The sequence below is a fragment of the Homo sapiens genome, chromosome 14, assembly GCF_000001405.40.
Source record: "Homo sapiens chromosome 14, GRCh38.p14 Primary Assembly".
Lineage (NCBI taxonomy): Eukaryota > Metazoa > Chordata > Mammalia > Primates > Hominidae > Homo > Homo sapiens.
Genome location: NC_000014.9, coordinates 30258273 through 30276369, shown reverse-complemented (window position 1 = coordinate 30276369; position 18097 = coordinate 30258273). Strand labels below are relative to the sequence as shown.

General features: G+C 37.8%; 3 annotated features.

The window, feature by feature from the left end:
- Window positions 1950-3826: an enhancer, noted in NCBI's record as "VISTA enhancer hs433". NCBI's record gives its function as "enhancer in: hindbrain (rhombencephalon)[5/6] | forebrain[6/6]" and the evidence as "EXISTENCE:transgenic organism evidence [ECO:0001131][PMID:17130149]".
- Window positions 5376-5877: an enhancer, noted in NCBI's record as "NANOG hESC enhancer chr14:30739699-30740200 (GRCh37/hg19 assembly coordinates)". NCBI's record gives its function as "activates a minimal SCP1, AML or CMV promoter by ChIP-STARR-seq in naive and primed H9 embryonic stem cells {active_cell/tissue: H9 hESC(naive and primed)}" and the evidence as "EXISTENCE:reporter gene assay evidence [ECO:0000049][PMID:30033119]".
- Window positions 5525-5574: a silencer, noted in NCBI's record as "silent region_5646". NCBI's record gives its function as "represses an Ori minimal core promoter by ATAC-STARR-seq in GM12878 lymphoblastoid cells {active_cell/tissue: GM12878}" and the evidence as "EXISTENCE:reporter gene assay evidence [ECO:0000049][PMID:35858748]".

Here is an 18097-nt window from a genome sequence, read left to right as displayed (position 1 = left end):
AGGAAGAGGAAAGGAATTAATGGAGGCCATCTTTGGAGTCCAGCTACCACAGTAGCTTAAGAGAAGAAGTAGAGGTAGAATTAGCATATTAGTAGGCAACTAAAGGGAGTAACAGAATAGGGTTTTTTGAGATGAACATGATCATGCATGTGGGGTTTGCACTCCACATCTACTTTGGCATGGCCATGGAAATATATTTCCAAGAAAGCATTTTTTAAAATGTTTCCCCAAATGGCCCTTCATAGTATTTATTGGTAGCAAGACTCAATCCCCAAGGTAGAGACATTAGTTTTGTCCCTCAATTTCCAGCCTGCTCCTGAGCCTTCCTGTGGTCATAAACATCCCAAGAGTATATAAAGCCAGGGTTACAAGAGCCGGAATCACCTACTCAGTTACTTTGTCCACAGACAAACCACAACAAAATCATAACTAAAGTATTTCAGTAGAGTTCTGACCTATTTTTAAAGACTTGAAGAAAAGAAGTTTCCACAAAATGCTTAGGAAACCTATTCTGAGATACAATCATTCCTTATGTCGGATCTAACTGGGGCATGTCAGTCACCTCCCTGAACCTGATTCTCTGTGCCTGGGAAACAAAGCACTCACATACTTCAGACAGAAATTATTTAGATGAACTAATGAGTGGTTACAAAAGGCTTTGAAAATATAAATTGCTGCATAAATACTTATTGTCTATATAAATACCTTTGCTTCAGCCTGAGGGGGGCTATCGCTTTTTGAAAGATTTCAACCTTATAGAGTACCTGAATAGTGAAGATAAAGACCCTACTAAGTGAGGATAAGATGATTCTTGCCTCTATTGTGTATATTATTTACCTACCACAAAGTCTTTTCTAAAATAGAAACATGGAAAATTTTAGAGAGAGAGAGAAAAAAAAGGACTTCATGGTTCCCTTAGATTGTAAGCTCTTTCAGCCAGGTCTGTGTTCAATCCATGCTTTTAAAAAATATGATTCCTGGGTATTATTGGTGCTGAGAAGTTACATTGCAACTTCTTTCTCGCATATGATGTTTTCTTGTGGGCGGGGGTGAAGAGATGGGAAAAAAATCACCGTATTTTTACATGATTTTTGTTTTCTCTTTCTCTTACATTATAAAGGCTTTATTTTAAAATAAAAGAGATGATTTGGAGTGTGCCTCATCAAAAATTACTTTTTAAAGATTTAGAAGTTGGAAAAAATGTTTAAGGGGTTATATTAAGACCTCCTTCTTCAAATGGATTAGTTTATTCATCCTTTTCTGCTGATGGGAACCAGAACAAGAAAGAGTTGTATCCTACACACAGGTAGAGCAAGTAGACCTCCTGCATCTCTGCTTCATGGCCACCTTTTCCTGCAGTTATTACATTAGTAAGTCAACAAAGATAGGATTCTTTAGAATTTCAGATACCCAAGAATTAAGGAAAGTATAGGCAAATAGAGGAGGCAGAGAATCCATGTTCCTGAACTAGAAGACTAGTTCAGGAAAAGTAGCTTCCTTACGGGGGCACCATGTTGCTCCTTGAGGTGCCTTTACCAATTGGAAGAGAATGCTTTGAGCCTCTTGAAAGAGTAAAAGCAGGAGAGATGGACTATTCTTCCTGAGGCTGCAACTGAGCTCAACAGGCCTTCACATACTTTGAGTTTCTGTCTGAGGAAAGGAAGTCTTGTAAATCCTTGTGTCCTCTTTATCCTTTCATCTCTTCCATAGTTGAGCCTAAAGTTGCTATCATCCAAGATGGCAGAAGAATAAATTAAGTGAATTGATGCAGCCTGCAATCAGATGAATGCAGTGTACTGTCTCTAGGAACTATTCTGGAGAGCTGTTTTGTAATTAACCTGAAATGACATATTCAGATTTGATTAATCTCATGTGGTCAGTAGGTAAGCTTCAGCTGAAGATTTTTTTTTTTGTTATCAACAATAGGTCCTTCTCTGTGATATATTTGCAGGAGAATGTTTAAATAATATAAATGGCAAATATGTTGATCAATGCTACTGTCAGAGATTTGGCTTAGTTTCATAAATACAATGTATAAAATATTTCACCATATTTAATATATAGAGACATTGATTTAGGTTCATGTTTCTGTATTGTAAATTCATATACATATACACAAACACACATATTTATGATTTAAAAGTCATCTAATTATTTAAGCAGACAGACTTGGTTTTCATTCGGTCCCTAACCTTGCTCTCTTAATTGGTATACACGATAAATTCAGAGTTATAGATTATTTCCTGTGGCATTGGTGGATTACAGCTCAAACCTAAAGTTTAAAGATTTAATTTTCTGTTGTTCTTAATGAAATAACCAAAGCAGCAGCTCCCCGTGGTGGGATATGAAAAGTAGTGTATAGATACCTACTAAAACATTTGCAGACCTCCTCAGTTTTCTGTTTTTAATGTGATGAAAATTTGTACAAATAACAAAGAAAGAATGTCATGGTAACTAAAACATTTCCTATACATGTATTTTAGAGGGAAGCTAAATCAAAGGTCTTCAAAGAATTACTAGGGTTCTTTCTAGGAGGTTATTGACAAATATGTAGTTTGTCTCTGGAGTTTGTGCCTCTTTCACAGATTGGTGTATTTGTGATCCCACCGGCAGAATAAGTGTCTGTAATTCATTTCTCCTTGTTAACTAGTGCGCCTTTGTGTAGAGGATGATTGGCAGCAAAGTCGGCTGAGTCCCAACGGATGAGCTTGTTAGCAAAACCCTAGCATCCTATCTCTAATAAAGCATATCAGCAGTACATTTTGTCCTATCTATTAGCCTCTCTGTTTCTTTTTTTGTGAAAAGCTGAGTGTCCCTTTGAAGCAATGACAAATAAACCCCTGAACTGAAGTGCTAGGCTGCCTTACGGACAGCTGGATAGTAAATGTCACACCGTGTAGAGAATGCCTATTATCAGAGTGAGCCATTTGTTCCCGGCCTTTCAGTATCTTAATGTAATACAAAATTGCTAAATCAAGCCCCATGTCTGTGACAGAACATAATTAATGAGAAAGCAGGAGCCAATTCAACACTCTTTATTGGGACCTAATTGGCTCAGGCAACAGAGTTGTCACTCAACAAGAGACTTCCTTTAAAGCAATTTTGTTCTTGGTTGTATTACAGAGCCTATTAAATTGTCCCCTCCTTGATCACACAAAGAAGTATCTGCATGCAATAATTAGCTTTTCCAGGGGGAATTTTTTTTAACTCATGCGATACCGAATCATTCTAAAACCGTCTGGAAAAACACCCAGGCCGTGGGGATGTGCTGCCATACTGAGCTGCACTGTAGGCTATTTTCCAGGCGGCCGAGGCAGCAGGGATCTGTGCTGCAGAAAGCTGAACAGGAGCCCCAAGGAAAAGAGAAGCATGTTCAAATGTGGAGGGTGGGAGGATGAGAGAGGGAGTGGGTAGAGGAAATTACTTTGATGGATAATCATAGCTCACGTCATAATCTGCAGTTAGAAAGGGCAAAAAAGGAATGCCTGTATGTACATATTTAAACATATGTTTAGTTTTTGTAGTCGTACCCAAGTCACTTAGAAATCAAAATTAACAAGGCCATGGCAGGGGTGGAGGTTAAATACATAGAGAAACCTGAATTGTCTAGAGCAACATTAATACATTCGACCACATCTTGGAGTTTTATGGGGCACGCTGTCTCAAAACCAGCACAAATATTTAGTGGCATGTGATTATTCATTACAATCTGAAATTTCGCTTTTGGGAATTGTGCTCCCCCCACCCCATTTAACAAACCTCAAAATAAATTTAGACCTGGTATTTACATTATTGTTATAAAACTGTTTCTTTTTTTTCTGTCACAGTATCACAGACTTCAAATAAATCTGTGCCTTCTCTTCATAAGTTTTAAGACAATGTGACATGCAGTAACTGGAGACCATGGAGAACTGAGCTTACAGTTGATACTGGCATTTGCTAGGATTTGGATGAAAAGGACACAACTGGTTAAACTAGAGGAAAAGCAAATGGGAAAGTTGTAGGAAATATACTTTAAAACATACAAATTAAGCAATGAATTGTATGGATGTTAAAACTGCAATATTTGAGATCAGAAAAAAATTATTAAAGGTTGATTTAAGTGACAGCACTTTGAACAGTCTAAATAAAGGCAAGTATGTGGCTCTTTTCTTGAAATATCTGTCAATATCTCCCTTCTGTGCCTTCAGAAACAACGCAGACTGTCTAGTTTGCATGGCAGCAGCATTTGGTTGGATTTAGAGAGAGCGGCTTGCCTCGGCATTGTTATTTGCCTCAATGTGGAAGTGCCAGATCCTAGGAAAGAAAGGAAAGAAGGCAAACCTCTAAAATAGAGGAGAGCTGTGCTGTTCTTGCTTTTCTGTGCAGTTTGGAGAAGGTTTGCAGCTGCTGAAATCCCAGGACTGTGCCCCAGCTATGACGGCATTATGCAGCAGGCGCTCAAAGTATAGTGTTTTTTAGGTTTTCCAGCATTTGCCGACATATTAGCTGTATTGCTTAATTGTAATTTACTTGCATCTACAGAGAAATCATTTTGTTTCCCACCCCCTCTCAAACCTACCTCTAAAGAGTGAGCAAAGTGGGATTTATGAATGCACTCTAAATGTTTGAGAAAGATTAGCTGTTATTCTATAGGGTATTAGAAAATAAAACTAACAGCAATACAAAAATATTAGTCAATAATGGCCTTTCCCAGGTGACTCTTGAACCTTGTGAAAGCACACATTCTCAACAAAGATTTATTAGTCTAGTCGGGGAACACATGATAATGATAGCAAGAGCTGCCAGAATTTAATTTGCTTTAATTAATCATTTGCTTCATAACACGACGATTTTCCCCCTCCCCCTCCCCTTTTGTAACTGTCTAGATTATTTTAAAACATTAGATATTACACTGTGGATGGCTGATGAAACTGAAATTGAATGCTGTAAAAGTTAGATTAAAAATTCATTTAACAGTATAAACATTTCAGAGTGCAGGATGGTGCCGATTAGGTCAAGTGAGTATGGAGTGATAAAACAGTCATGGAGCTGAGAGAAAAAATATTGTCAGAGGGCATTCAAACAGCTGAATTTAGTCTAATTTAAATGTTATAGCAGACACACAAAAATTGTTAACTAGAAATATCGTTATAATTACTCTTTGGTATTTTAGCAACACAGACTGGTAAGAAGTCAGAACCTAGGTTTAAACACATTTATTCATTTCACTGTACAAACAAGCTTTGGTTGCAACTGGAATTCGTTCTCATGGTTAGGCCAAGGGCCCTCCATGGAGTGCTGAAGCTGAGTCAAAGACCACCTCGCCTGGCCCTCGTAGGAGAATTAAATGGAGTCGCTCAGATTTCCAGGATAGCCAAGACACCAGCTATTTTCATCATGCTCCTCTGGACAGCACTGAGCGGCAAGTGTCTCCTCCACGTCTGGCCTGGGAAGTGGCCAGGCTCAGAGGCAGGGAGACTGGGCTCAGTTAAGCCTAACAGAGATGCTGGCCTTCAGCCACGAGGGGGAGCTCACGGACACCCCTACTGACAATGCAGTGCAATTGGCTTGAGAAGCTAAAGCTTTCCCAAGGGTTTGAAGAACGACACGGCGCCTGACATCGCCGCTGACGACTGCTGATGTGAACGCTTTTGTGTGACAGGCTGAGGGGAGCTGGGGCGGGGAAACTTACATTTGTCTAGGCTTAGTGACCAAGCAAAACGCTTGTGTTCCGAGGTCTTTCAGCTTCCTCCATTTTGCTGATGCCTCGATGGACAACCTCAGCACTTAATTCTTACCCTTGTCTTTGTGAGCCTCCCCCACGAGTTGATTGGCTGTATTAAACGGGATTAAGCCCAAATAAATGCTCAGAATTCTTCATCAGCTCCCCATCGTCTACAAGATAAACTTCCTTCGGGTGTCACCAAGGCACTGAATGAACTGGTCCCTTCCTGTGCCTGTATCTTAAGCGTCATTTCAGCTCTCATCCCACTCTACCCAGCACATTGCTCATTAGCTACGCCTACTTCTCAGTCGTGTCCCTCTAACCCGTTGCCTTGCCTCAGCCTGATTGTCACTCTTTACATCACCCATCTTTGATTCCCTCGGAAACAGTGCTCACCTTGTAAGGTTCCTGTGAGGATTAAATGAGGTAATTTAGTAGTATGAGCCTGGAATATAGACGGTACTAGTGAGTGTTAGCTGTTATTATTAAGGACTTGCTTACGATCCTGTCCTTACACTTTGTACAACTTTCCCCCATATCAAGGACATTATAGTATTGCTTATTCACATGCCCTTCTCCTCACGATATTATAATCCTCTTGAGGATTATGTTTTTTAAATTTTTGGATCCCCAACCTAACACGATGTTTGGCTGCCATGTTGTAGGTGCTCAATAAATGTCTCCTGTATGAACTAGTGGCTGTTTGTTGTAAAGCATTCTGCAGTTTGGTCACTGGCCAATTTTTAAGAAGTATATAAGACCTTAAGTATTTTTTAAAGAAGCAGACATTTGGGTGGCTGCATACCATTTTTTCTCAAGCAGGTTTTCTAACCGTTTTCAGAATCAGTTAACAAAAAACTCTCACAAGGCCAGGCATGGTGGCTCACGTTTGTAATCCCAGCACTTTGGGAGGCCGAGGTGGGTAGATCACCTGAGGTCAGGATTTTGAGACCAGCCTGGCCAACATGATGAAACCCTGTCTCTACTAAAAATACAAAAAAGCAAAAAAATTAACTGGGCATGGTGGCATGCACCTATAATCCCAGCTACATGGGAGGCTGAGGCAGGAGAATCATTTGAACCTGGGAGGTGGAGGTTGCAGTTAGCTGAGATCACACCACTGCACTCCAGCTTTGGTGACAGAGTGAGACTCCACCAAAAAAAAGAAAAAATAGTAACAATATAGTCCCAATATATATAACAAATATATATATATATATATATATATATATATATATATATATGTCCCAAAAATAGTAACAATATATATCTCTTTGTTTTTTCAAATGCAAATAGTATTTTCAAGGACAATCAATTCATTACCTAATTCATTAAAATTGATCATCAATGAACTCAAGATGTTTTCATAAACAATTCATCCTCTAAGTACGAAACTTGGCTGTCACTCACTCTATCTAAAGGCATCTTCCAAAATGAGTTCAATAGAGGCAGCAGGGATAGAGTTGGTGTGTATTTTCTCACTGCGGTTCTTTGATGGAGACTATATGCTCTGTTTAACTTTTAAGTTCTTAACATAACAAACGGTTCCATTTCCTTGTCTACTCTACAGAACTCACCTGAAATACAATCAATTGCAATTATAATTGTAGAGTAGTCTGACATAGTCTGCCCATCAAGGTGAGAAAATGAGAGAGGTAAGAGCCCTATTCTGAGCCTCAAGAAAGTTTCAGGCTGGGAGAATCACCTAATTTGGAATTTTGTAAGGAAAAGAACATTGAAATCTCTTGCTTCACCAACAGTGGAAAGGCTTATAGATACTCGCTGTCAAGAAAGCCAGTCTTGCAGCTCTTTTCAATTTCCTGGGAAGTCAGGATATCCACTGCAGCTCACGGCACACCTTCACAGTAGAGTCACAGCAAGCTTTGTGCCAAGGAACAGGACAACATCATAGAAATTTGGGGGTCTCCTTGGAATTCTTAACCCTAAAATGCAGGGGGAAATTACAAACTGGTATTCATATGATTGACTTTGAATCTCACTGAAGGGATGTGAGCTGAAGAAAAATGTACTGTCATTTGCTTGGTTCAGAATTTCTGAGTGTTGGGGGCTGGTAGGTAACTCCTGTGGTCCCACAGAGAGCATTGTAATCAAGGAGAGCTCTTTACATCCCCTCTAGCTCCCTGCAATACGCACTGGCAGAATTGGTTAAATGAGCCGCCATACTCTGGTCAATATGAATAGGCTTGTAAGATGCTCAGTTTGATTTAATGGCCACCCATGGACTTCCATATGCAGAAAGAACTGTCACATTCAGTCTGAATAAAGCTCGAAAAATCAACTACTCCATTTGGTGTTGTAGTTGCATTTTAATGTCCTCTTCAGAATTCTCCGTTATAGTAACATCTCTGCAATCAGTCTAGCATAAAAAGACCTGTTTATAATAAATTGGTCAGCCTCTTATGTACCTATCTTTTCTGATAGGATAGAGAATGATAAGATTGTTCTTTGTAGACTAGGCTATAAGATTTTTAATATGACAAGTTGTATCTCTCCATTTATACAAGTGATTTATTTCAGGTTTTATTTCTGTTTTGAGTCTTTGTTTTCATGTTAACTCATAATTGTCCTGGGGGAGGGAGGAGGCAAATGGATTTCACCCACGAATTGTAGATCTTTGGGAGATGTTTGAGTGAGATGAAGTTTATAAAGAAGCCAGTTCTTGAACAACAAAATTGCTCGGTTTTTTTGCCATACTTTCAGCTAGGAAAGCAACTAAGTACTTTTGTGACAGTTGTGAACTACAGTGCCCTGGACAGAAAATGTTGGCAGAAGCAGAAGTGCGCCACTGATTTGTATGACTATTCTGAGGTGGAATAATCACACTGCCTTGTTAGTTCATAATAATCACCCAGTACAGAGGACCCTAGACCTTTGGAATCACTCAAAATTTTCATTACAGAACCAGCAGTCTTTTAGACGTGCTCTGGTGTACCTCAATGTTGAAACTGCATATTACAGGTTATGCTCCTGTAAATAAAGGACATTTTGTTATGCCCACACTCAGCTGTGTTCCCTACTGTGATTTCTTTACTAGCTCCTGCTGTCACCTATAGCCAAATAGAATGCATTATTGGTGAGCCTTTTTGCCCAAACTTGATGTCTGTCCAGACGACAAAATCACTGATTAGGTAGGAGGATAAAAGTCCTTCAGGAACAGAGTGGCTCTGGACCTCAGCTACAGACTGCAGCTAATTCATAAATGTCAACAGTCAAGAGGAGGGGAACCAGAACATTTTGTCTTGAGGGTGACTTCCCAACCATCTCTGGGATGCATGGTTTTCTTGTAGATTAAGGTTAAACAGGAAATGACCAAGCATGACTCTTCAGCTAAATTTGTAATGATCATTCCTGCTTGGTTTTAAAAAAGAATCCATTCTAAGGCAAATTTGTGCCTTTATTTCTCTTGGGGGGTTCAATAAGGAACTTAAGGATGCTTAACTTTCAGAAATACTGATGAGATTATTGAAGAGCAGTCAGTTTCCCTAGACCTTGTTCCTATTTCTCAGTTCTTTTCCTCTTTAATCAAAGTGCTCAGAATAACTAGCTCTTCTAGAGATACTGGTATTCCAAATTGTCATGTAGATAAGTAAACTTTTTTATCCTTTAAGAAAATTCTTCTCCTTAGTCATTTATTGGCATATAGGCATAGAACTCTATTGAAAGATGACAATTGAGAAAATTTCATTATGAATTTTTTATGAGGCCAATCAATAAATATTCATAATGACATCAACAATTTACAGTTTCATTTAAAGTTATTATAGGCCCCATTTATAACATGGTGTCAAATGTTATTTATATATTACAGATAAGGAAATGGGGGTTCCATAACATGCCAAAAGGTACTTTGTTGGCAGCAGTTGAGAACAAGTTTTGGAGTTAGACAATCCTGATTCCGCCACTTACGAGCTGCATGAGCTAGTCGCTATTATTATTCTTCATCTGATTTCTAGCTCAGTGTTTCTTCCATTTTACTGTGCTATGAACCTTAAATCATCAAACATTACAAATTAAGTAGAAAGAAAGAAGAGTATTTTGCTAAGTACTTACCACAGGTAAATTAATTTGAAATGCTGTTTTACAAAGAATGGTGGGAATTATAGCTAGTTTTCCCAAAGAAAGAAGTTCCAAAGACACCGAGATGTTCTGCTGCCTCCTGTTGGCTGAGGGGCAAAGTTTATTTCCTTACTGTACCAAATGAGAAAGGAATTATTTTATACCTCCTGTGTTTAAGTCATTATGGAGTGGTAAGGCCTCCTCTAAGGAGTCAAAAACTGTCTAGACGAGTCTGAAGAGGACCAGTTTTAGACAGTCGTGCTTAATACAGAACATGGGCTTTGGGACAGGAGATTTCTCTTTTTGCTCTAAGAGAGTTCTCTGATTAAAGTCCATGAAAACTCTGTTGAACATTCAGTAAGCATGGATTAAGAAATTGACTATGACCCACATGTTCAGCTGTACCTTGAGAGAACACATACACACTCAACACACTCATGCATACACATACAAACACAAAACAAAGCAAAACAAAGAGCAGTTGACTTTCCATTCTATTCATTAAAAAGATTCATTTATAATTGTATTGTGCAGGGGGCTGTAAGATTGAAGTGATACCTGAGGGAGGCCTGGGAATATGTTTGCACCACATTACTTGGACTGCATGATAATTGAGAGCCATTGTGGCTGAACACTTTATGAGTTTGTTTAATTTGTCACAGTAAATAAAGCTTTTTTGATGCAAGTTAATTAGCTCTCTTGTGTTACTGCACATCAAATGTAATTAACAACCAACTGCCAGTGTGGGGTTGCCCTTGCATAACATGGTAATGGGGGAAAAACTTAACTGGGGCTGGATTAAGTAAAAGATATACTGTTGAATCAATCACCCTTCTGTCTGCTTAAATTTAGATGGACTGGGATCTAGGGGGAAAATATCAGGTCTAATAAAAAATCAGCTGTTTAATATGGTTTCATTAAAAAATGCATGTATCATGCCAGGCTTACATTTGCCACCATATTAGGTCAACGCAGCTAAGTAAATTTCCTACCACTGCTCAGAGTTCACTTCCTCCTTGGTTGGCGTTGTCTATATGCCAACCTCTGCTTGGATATTTCACTTCCAGTCATTTACTTTTCTTTAGCTTTGACATTTTATCTCACCTGTGATAAGTGCTGCTATAGCGAAGGCAGAAGGAGTGCTATTAAATAAAGACTAAGAAGGAATTTGCTTCAATTGGCAGAAGACAACCAAAGAATCCACCCAAAGAAGAAAATCATGCTTCCAAATTCATAGTGGTATTCTTGTCTAGTTTATAGTTTGAGAAAGTATTCTGCCATACTTTTCCATTTTTTTCCTAGGCAAAGTTAACATAAAGACATCAAACAGTTCTGATTTATGCTAATTTTTGATCATGGTATTTGAAGAAAGGTTGGAAGATAGAAATATCTTTAAAGGGACACAATAATGGTAAACTTGAGATGCTCCATGTATCTATTATTTACATTGAAAATATTTGCTGGGAGAAAACAACAATATAAGTTAAAAAGAAGTAAATTTGTAATTGGATATAGCTTTGCTAGTAAACCTTTCCCCTCTCATCACCACTGCCTTCTCCTCCATATGAAAGGAAGATTCCATGCCAATTTATCTAAGCAATAGCACTCTTTTGTGGGGAATAACAACCTGGTTAGGAAGGAAAACTTAAGTAGGAGTATAAGACTTGGGCTTATGTCCTTACTCTGCCTCTAACCAGCACTCTGACCACCTTCTCTGGGACTCAGTTTCCTCACAGAATTAGGTGTCAGAATGGATAGTTCTGCAGTTGTCTTCTAGCTCCGAGTTTCCCTGATTCTCTGATCTCTCTCATGGTTTTCCAGAAAATCCTTCTGGTTTCATTTATTTTCACCCTGCCTGCCCCAGGTCTCTGCTGACTGGCTTTAGCAATGGAAGATGTGTAAGTCCAGCTACTAGGAAGCTAAAAGAAATGTATTAAGTGACAGCCAGTCTTTACTCATTCATTCAACAAATATTTACTGAATACGTTCTATAAACTAGGTTGTGAGAATCCAAGGATGAAAATAATTTGGATAATCCTTTATCTACATAACAGGAAATTAGAAAATAGATAGTTGGCTTAATAAATTAGCTCACTCTATTCATATTGAATTGTTTAAAAATATCCCTAGGTGTTTTATATAGGTCTCTTATTCCTGAGCTTTCCTGTCCATGCACTGCATATTCAATACTGTGAAACAGGCAAGCAGGCCTGAACTAAGGCAGAAGGAAGAAAACAAAGCTCCCTTTTATACTAGAACATTTCCTCTTGAGACAGCTGTTTTTGCTAGGAGTTGGCAAAAATACACATCTTATTTTCTTTTATTTGATTTAAGAATTCAATGTGAAAGATTGCATCACATATTGAATTTACTTTTACTCTTTCAAAAATAATACTTCTATTAATTTTAAAAGTAATACAAGTGCATGGTGAAAAATGAAAATATTACAAAAGTTCATGATAGAGAAAAAATTCAAGTGCCCAATTATCCCACTTCCCAAAGATAATTCTTATTAATATTTTGCTTTGTATTCTCTCTCTCTCTCTCCGTCCCTTCTTCCCTCCTTCCGTCCCTCCATATAGTAGTAAAATGTATTATCGTGTCTTTTCACACATATGGAATAGTATAGTTAATACTGAAATTTGACTTTTTCATAGTATATTTTGACCCTTTCCATGTAGATTCATCTCATTCTTTTTAATGACTATGTTGTATTCCACTGAATGGACCTAAGGTGATATAGTCAATTCTCCACTTAACAGATAGCTGACTTGTTTTCAGGTATTTTGCTATTATAAATAATACAGGATGATATCTGTAGTAATATTATCATCATTGCAAAGAGTAATAAATACTCACTAAGTATTTATTAATACTAAGTGCCAGGAACTTTATTATAGACTTTGTAGGCATCATTTCATTTAATTTTCAAAATAATCGGGCAGATGAGGACACTGAAATGCTATGTAACTTGTCCAAGGTCACATATCCAGAAGGTAGTGGAGCTGTGATTTCAACTCAAGTCTGTCTGATTTCAGAATTAGAGCTCGGCATTCACTCAGCAAACATTTTTGTGCACACATTTTTGTATACTTGTGTTAGTATATGTGCAGGATACATTTATAAAGATAAAATTGCTGGGTCAAAGGATGTGCAATATTTAAACTTATTCAAGTATTTTTTAATGGCCCTGAAAAATATTTTTGCCAATGATTATCCCCAATGGTAGTAAGTAAGAGTACTAGTTTCTCCGCACTCTTGCCAACACTTTGTAGCTTCATCTTTTTCCACCAATATAATAGGCAAAAAATTATCTTAGTGTTATTTCAATTTGTATTTTATAAACTTACTTTTTTAGTAATAAAATGTAATATATTTAAAGATCATTTGGTCATCAGCTTTGGAAATATGGCTCATATACCCATAATCTCTCAGTTTTAGAGAGGTTGCATGAAATTCTCAGTTGAGTTTTTCATATTCTTTATCATCTCCATCCAAACTCCTTGGTTTATTTCTATCCCCAGTGCATTTGGAATTTCTTTCTGGGATAAACACACTCAGGTACCATTCTACCAGCAAGTTCCAATTATTCAATCCAGGTCACAGTACTTGGTCAAAGTAACTGACAAAAGAAGGATGGCACTAGCCATTTAAAGCTGACTTTTTAAAAAAAATGATGGTAGTTTTGGGAAGAGAGAGAAAAAGTGACTTTTTAAAATACAACATGATATTTTTAAAAGAAAGCAGAGATCTCAAGGGAAAAACTAACAAAAATAACTTTAAAAGAATAGATGTTCAAAATCATTATGTTAAGTAGGAGTTATTAAAAATACTGCAAAAAGATCAGCTTGTACCTAGAACTTGGTTAAAGCCACAGTATATAGACAGACATTCAAAATGATGAATTTGTGCTATGGCGTTACATCGAGATGCATATAATCACTTACAGCCACTTGTAATTTCTAGAAATGAACACATATTGCCTAAGATTTTTCTAATTGAGCCATATTCTGGAAGCATGACAAAGGCAAGATCCATTTTACTTCATTAAGAAAAACAGGCTCATACTTCATATTTATTCTTTTTGAAAACCACCTGCTGTCATGTCCTTGTGATCTGTAAAATTCTAGCTTTCTATGAGTTAAAACAGGAGTAAAATAATTATATCACCTTGTTTGTTAGATACATTTAAAATGTAGACAGACAGAAAGATGGCTAGTCAGACAATCTGATTATTGTACCAGCTGAATCCTTAAAGAATCAGAGACTGAACCAAACTAAAAAGCATTAAGGAGGAGTACAATAGAGAGCATGAGACAGTTAGAGATAAGTGAAATGTGCAGCGTTGTTGGGCTCAGAATGAAAGAGATGACTTTTGACAGTCTACCCCTTTGTCAGAAAGCTGTTGCAGCAAAGCAAACTTAAAAATGTTATCTGCTGTAAACTACATCTTGAAAAAAGTGATTAATGCAATTTGGCTGTTCTATAACAGAACCATAATATATTGTTGAAAGGGGCCTGCTGAGGCAAAATGTAGTGTTGAAAATGTGCTGTTTCTTAATAATAATAGAGGATATAAAGTAAGCTTTGAAAAAAGTAGGCCTAGCCAATGATTAAGCTAACATTAACACCTTCTCACACTTTCAAAGACTCAACTTTCCCCAAGACCCTCTGGTTCTTTAAACTTATTCTTCTATTACTTTTCCTGTTTTGGGTTAAGTTTTCAGGTAGATATTTTGGAAACAAACAAGAAATGAAGGAGGGAAGAAAATCTTGGGGAAACAGAGGCAGAAAATTGGCTTTTGGTTTTCTTTTAGCAATCCTTTTTTTTTAAGATGGAACTCTCCTGTATATCAAATCTTGTTACCTGTCATGTTTTAGGCAGATGTGGCACAGTTAATGTGTATAGAATGGGCACACCAGAAGAAACAGGACCCTGGAATTAGACTGCCCACTGAGGGTGTGTAGTGCCAGAAGGGGATTTTGCTGCATGTGTGGGGAATATTTTACCATGTCTGACAGAGCTGGTTTCTGAAAGTTTTGATAACAAATGGTAATTCAAATAAGTTGATATTGAAGAGAGCATCCAGTAAGAAGCCTGGTGACAGGCTGGTGAAACAAGACAATGGGAAATCCTGAATGCCAGTGTGGAAGCGCAGGTAGGTAGGTGTCGGGAGGCCTCTTAACAGGGAAAGGCAGCACCTCAGCCACTGAACTGAGGATAAAACACAGAACTTTAGCCCTCGTAGAAACACTCACATGAAATAACCCTTGCACCAAGGGATATTATTTTTTCTGGCACTACTAAGATTCCTGTTTGGATAGTGGCTAAGTTGTTACCAAAGAAGAAAAAACAAGGAAACAAGCATGAATTGTTGATTCTTCCAAAGTGGGTAGCAAAAACAGCAGTAGTAGGTTGACGGTGCAAACTCTCATCTCCAGTGTAGCACCACACAATTCCCTTGACAAGAGACAAAGCAACTGCTAGGTTTAATGTGTCTTCACATGAGCAACTGATCTCGCATAATAATACTGCATCGTGCTGACAATCCTTTATGAATACAGCACTGTAATGCCGACAGTTAGCTAACAACAAAGCTGCCTGCCCAGATAGAAGCTTTAGAACTACACGGGAGGGACTTAATTCGACTCAAGGTAATTCTGGGGAAATGTGGAAAGGCTGACATCTGGACTGTCATGCAAAGCAGACACATTCTGAAACACAAGAGAAATGCCATCTGAGAGGTCCTAGTGAGGCTTCCAAATTGTCATCAAGAGCTTGTTAAATTTTCATAACTTTAATATGGAAGAAAAAAACATCATTTCAGAAAAGTAGTGGGAGGGGACCAGGGCTTGAGATAGATACATTTATTTCATTTACAAAATATTTCTTTACTGCTTTCTGTAGGTCAGGTACTGTGCTAGGTGACAGAGATACAGACATGAATAAGATTGTCCCTGCCCTCAAAATTGGGTTATTATTTACTTTTGGAGAGGGAAATAAGCCAACAATTACAATGTGTTGTGGTAAGGAGTAGGAATTAAGTGAAGGTTGCAATGGGACCTGGGATAAAGAGCATCTAGCTCTCTCTCTCTCTCTTTCTCTCTCTTTCCATGCGTGTGTGTGTGTTTATAAAAGGTATTGGAGTTCATAAGGGAAGGCTTCCAGGAGAAGGGGATTTATAAATTAAATCTTATAATATGAGAAGGACAAGTCAGAAGACCAGGTGAGTGGGTGGATGGCTGAGCGTTATAGTTGGAGAAAATGGTATGTGCAAACTTTCATGTTTACAAAAGGAACACATGGAAACAGAACTGCCAGACCCCTTACTTTTTGGGGGTCTTTATTGATAATGGAACATTGAGAGCTAAAAGGCAAATGTCTCCTTTCATGGCAAGACAGAATCAGCATTTCTTGATAGAGAATTAAAGCAGAATTCTTGACAGAATTCCTGACAGAATTAAAGCATTTCCTGATACAAGCTTATTAGACTTTAAGGGAAGTTATTTGGGGACATTACGAAAATACCTTCTCTGAAAAGTGTTGTATGGAGAGTAAGGTGAGCAGATATGGAAACTAATCAATACTTCTTTTAACTCTAGGATTTCAGTCTGATTCCAAGACTGACTAAAAAGAGTGAGAAAGATTAATGAAGGGGAAGGGCACTACATGGAAGGCAATTGCAAAGTGCTACAAAATAGTAGGGGCAGGCTAACATTATGAGGTCTCATACAGGGGCATTTCAGTGTTAAAATAATGATTGTGACATAATTGCCTAAAATTATTTGGCAACCCTAAAGCATTTGAACTATTTACAGTAAATTCTAACATGCTATCCTTGTAACCTTTAGGAATAGAAATTTGCTCAGGTCAGGAAACTGTTTCTTGGAGTGCAATGAAGAAAACCTAGATCATTACAGACATTTAGTTAGTCTTCCGATTTAGATGCTGACTTCTAATGCTGTCCCTGAATTATAGATTGTCTTCAGCCATTCATAACCTGGAAGGCTCAGGCCCAGTCCGTATATGGTAGCCTATTTATTAGTGGTGGCTAGACCTGTGTTTAGTTCTCAGTTTAACCCAAATCCTTGTGTGTTAACTTTATCAAGCTTTTGCTTTGATATTTATGCACTACAAATTACATGCAAAGTGTACACAGAAGTTTTTCTCTTTGAGATGGAAATATATATCATGCTCAGTTTCAAAGCACATTTCTCCATACCTTTTTTGCTTGTCATCTCCTACAGATATTAGGAGAGCCAATGCCACCAAACATAGTCAACAGCAGGGCTGGCTTACAGGAGAATACCATTCAATAGCATCTCATCTGGAAACATGGGAAAAGCATAGATAATTTCATAGAAATTACCAATTATTAGAGTTGGGTAGGATGTTTAAAATCATCTAGTTCCTTATCCTCAATTGGCAGCTGGGGAAATCAAAGTCCTTGCTCAGAGTCCTACAGTGATAATAGACAGAATTTAGGTTTTCTAAAAGCCAGGCCAATATTTTCTTCTAAGACATAGCATGTCCTTTTTTATCCTTAAGTATAAAGCAGAATACTTCTTTTCTATTAAGGGTCAGTTATTTTAGAAAACACTTTGAAAATATAAGTGCCATAAAAATGTATTATTTAAAAACATTTGTATAAGAAAAGCTACCTTGACTTAAGAATGCAAACCTCCCACTTATTAAAACCTCACATAGTTGCTTGCAAATTTTATACAAAGCTCCCCAAATCTAGTAGCCTCTGGATTTTTTTTTCACCCTGACATGATCCCATCAGAGAGCCAGCAACCTGGTCAACAACTTATCATGAAAAGTTGGTTGGAAAAGGCAATCAAGTAAATCTGTGTCATTAACTATTTAAGCATGTTGCTGATTGCAGAGTGATTCCACCTATTTCTTACTTTGTCCATGTAGCAACCTTAAGAGGCACACAGGAACATATTAATTTTTCCATCTTAGAGATAAGAAAGCAATGTCTTCAGTAATTAAGTTGTTTGTTTAATGTCATGGAGGTGGTGTATAGTAGAGCTAAGCTGCTTACCCAGGCATTGTCACTCTTGGTCATGTGCTCCTTTCATCCTACCAAATCACCACCATCATCATTATCATCATCATCATCATCATCATCATCATCATCATCATTATCATCATTTTAACTATTATAACTTTTCCAGTACTGGCAGATCTCCATGTATATAACAGCATCTCTCTCATCTTACCATTACCCCATTGTACTGCTTTTATATCCCCAAAACTTGCCTCTTGGTTGCCTAGCAAATGTAGCTATGAGGCTCCAGGAAAAA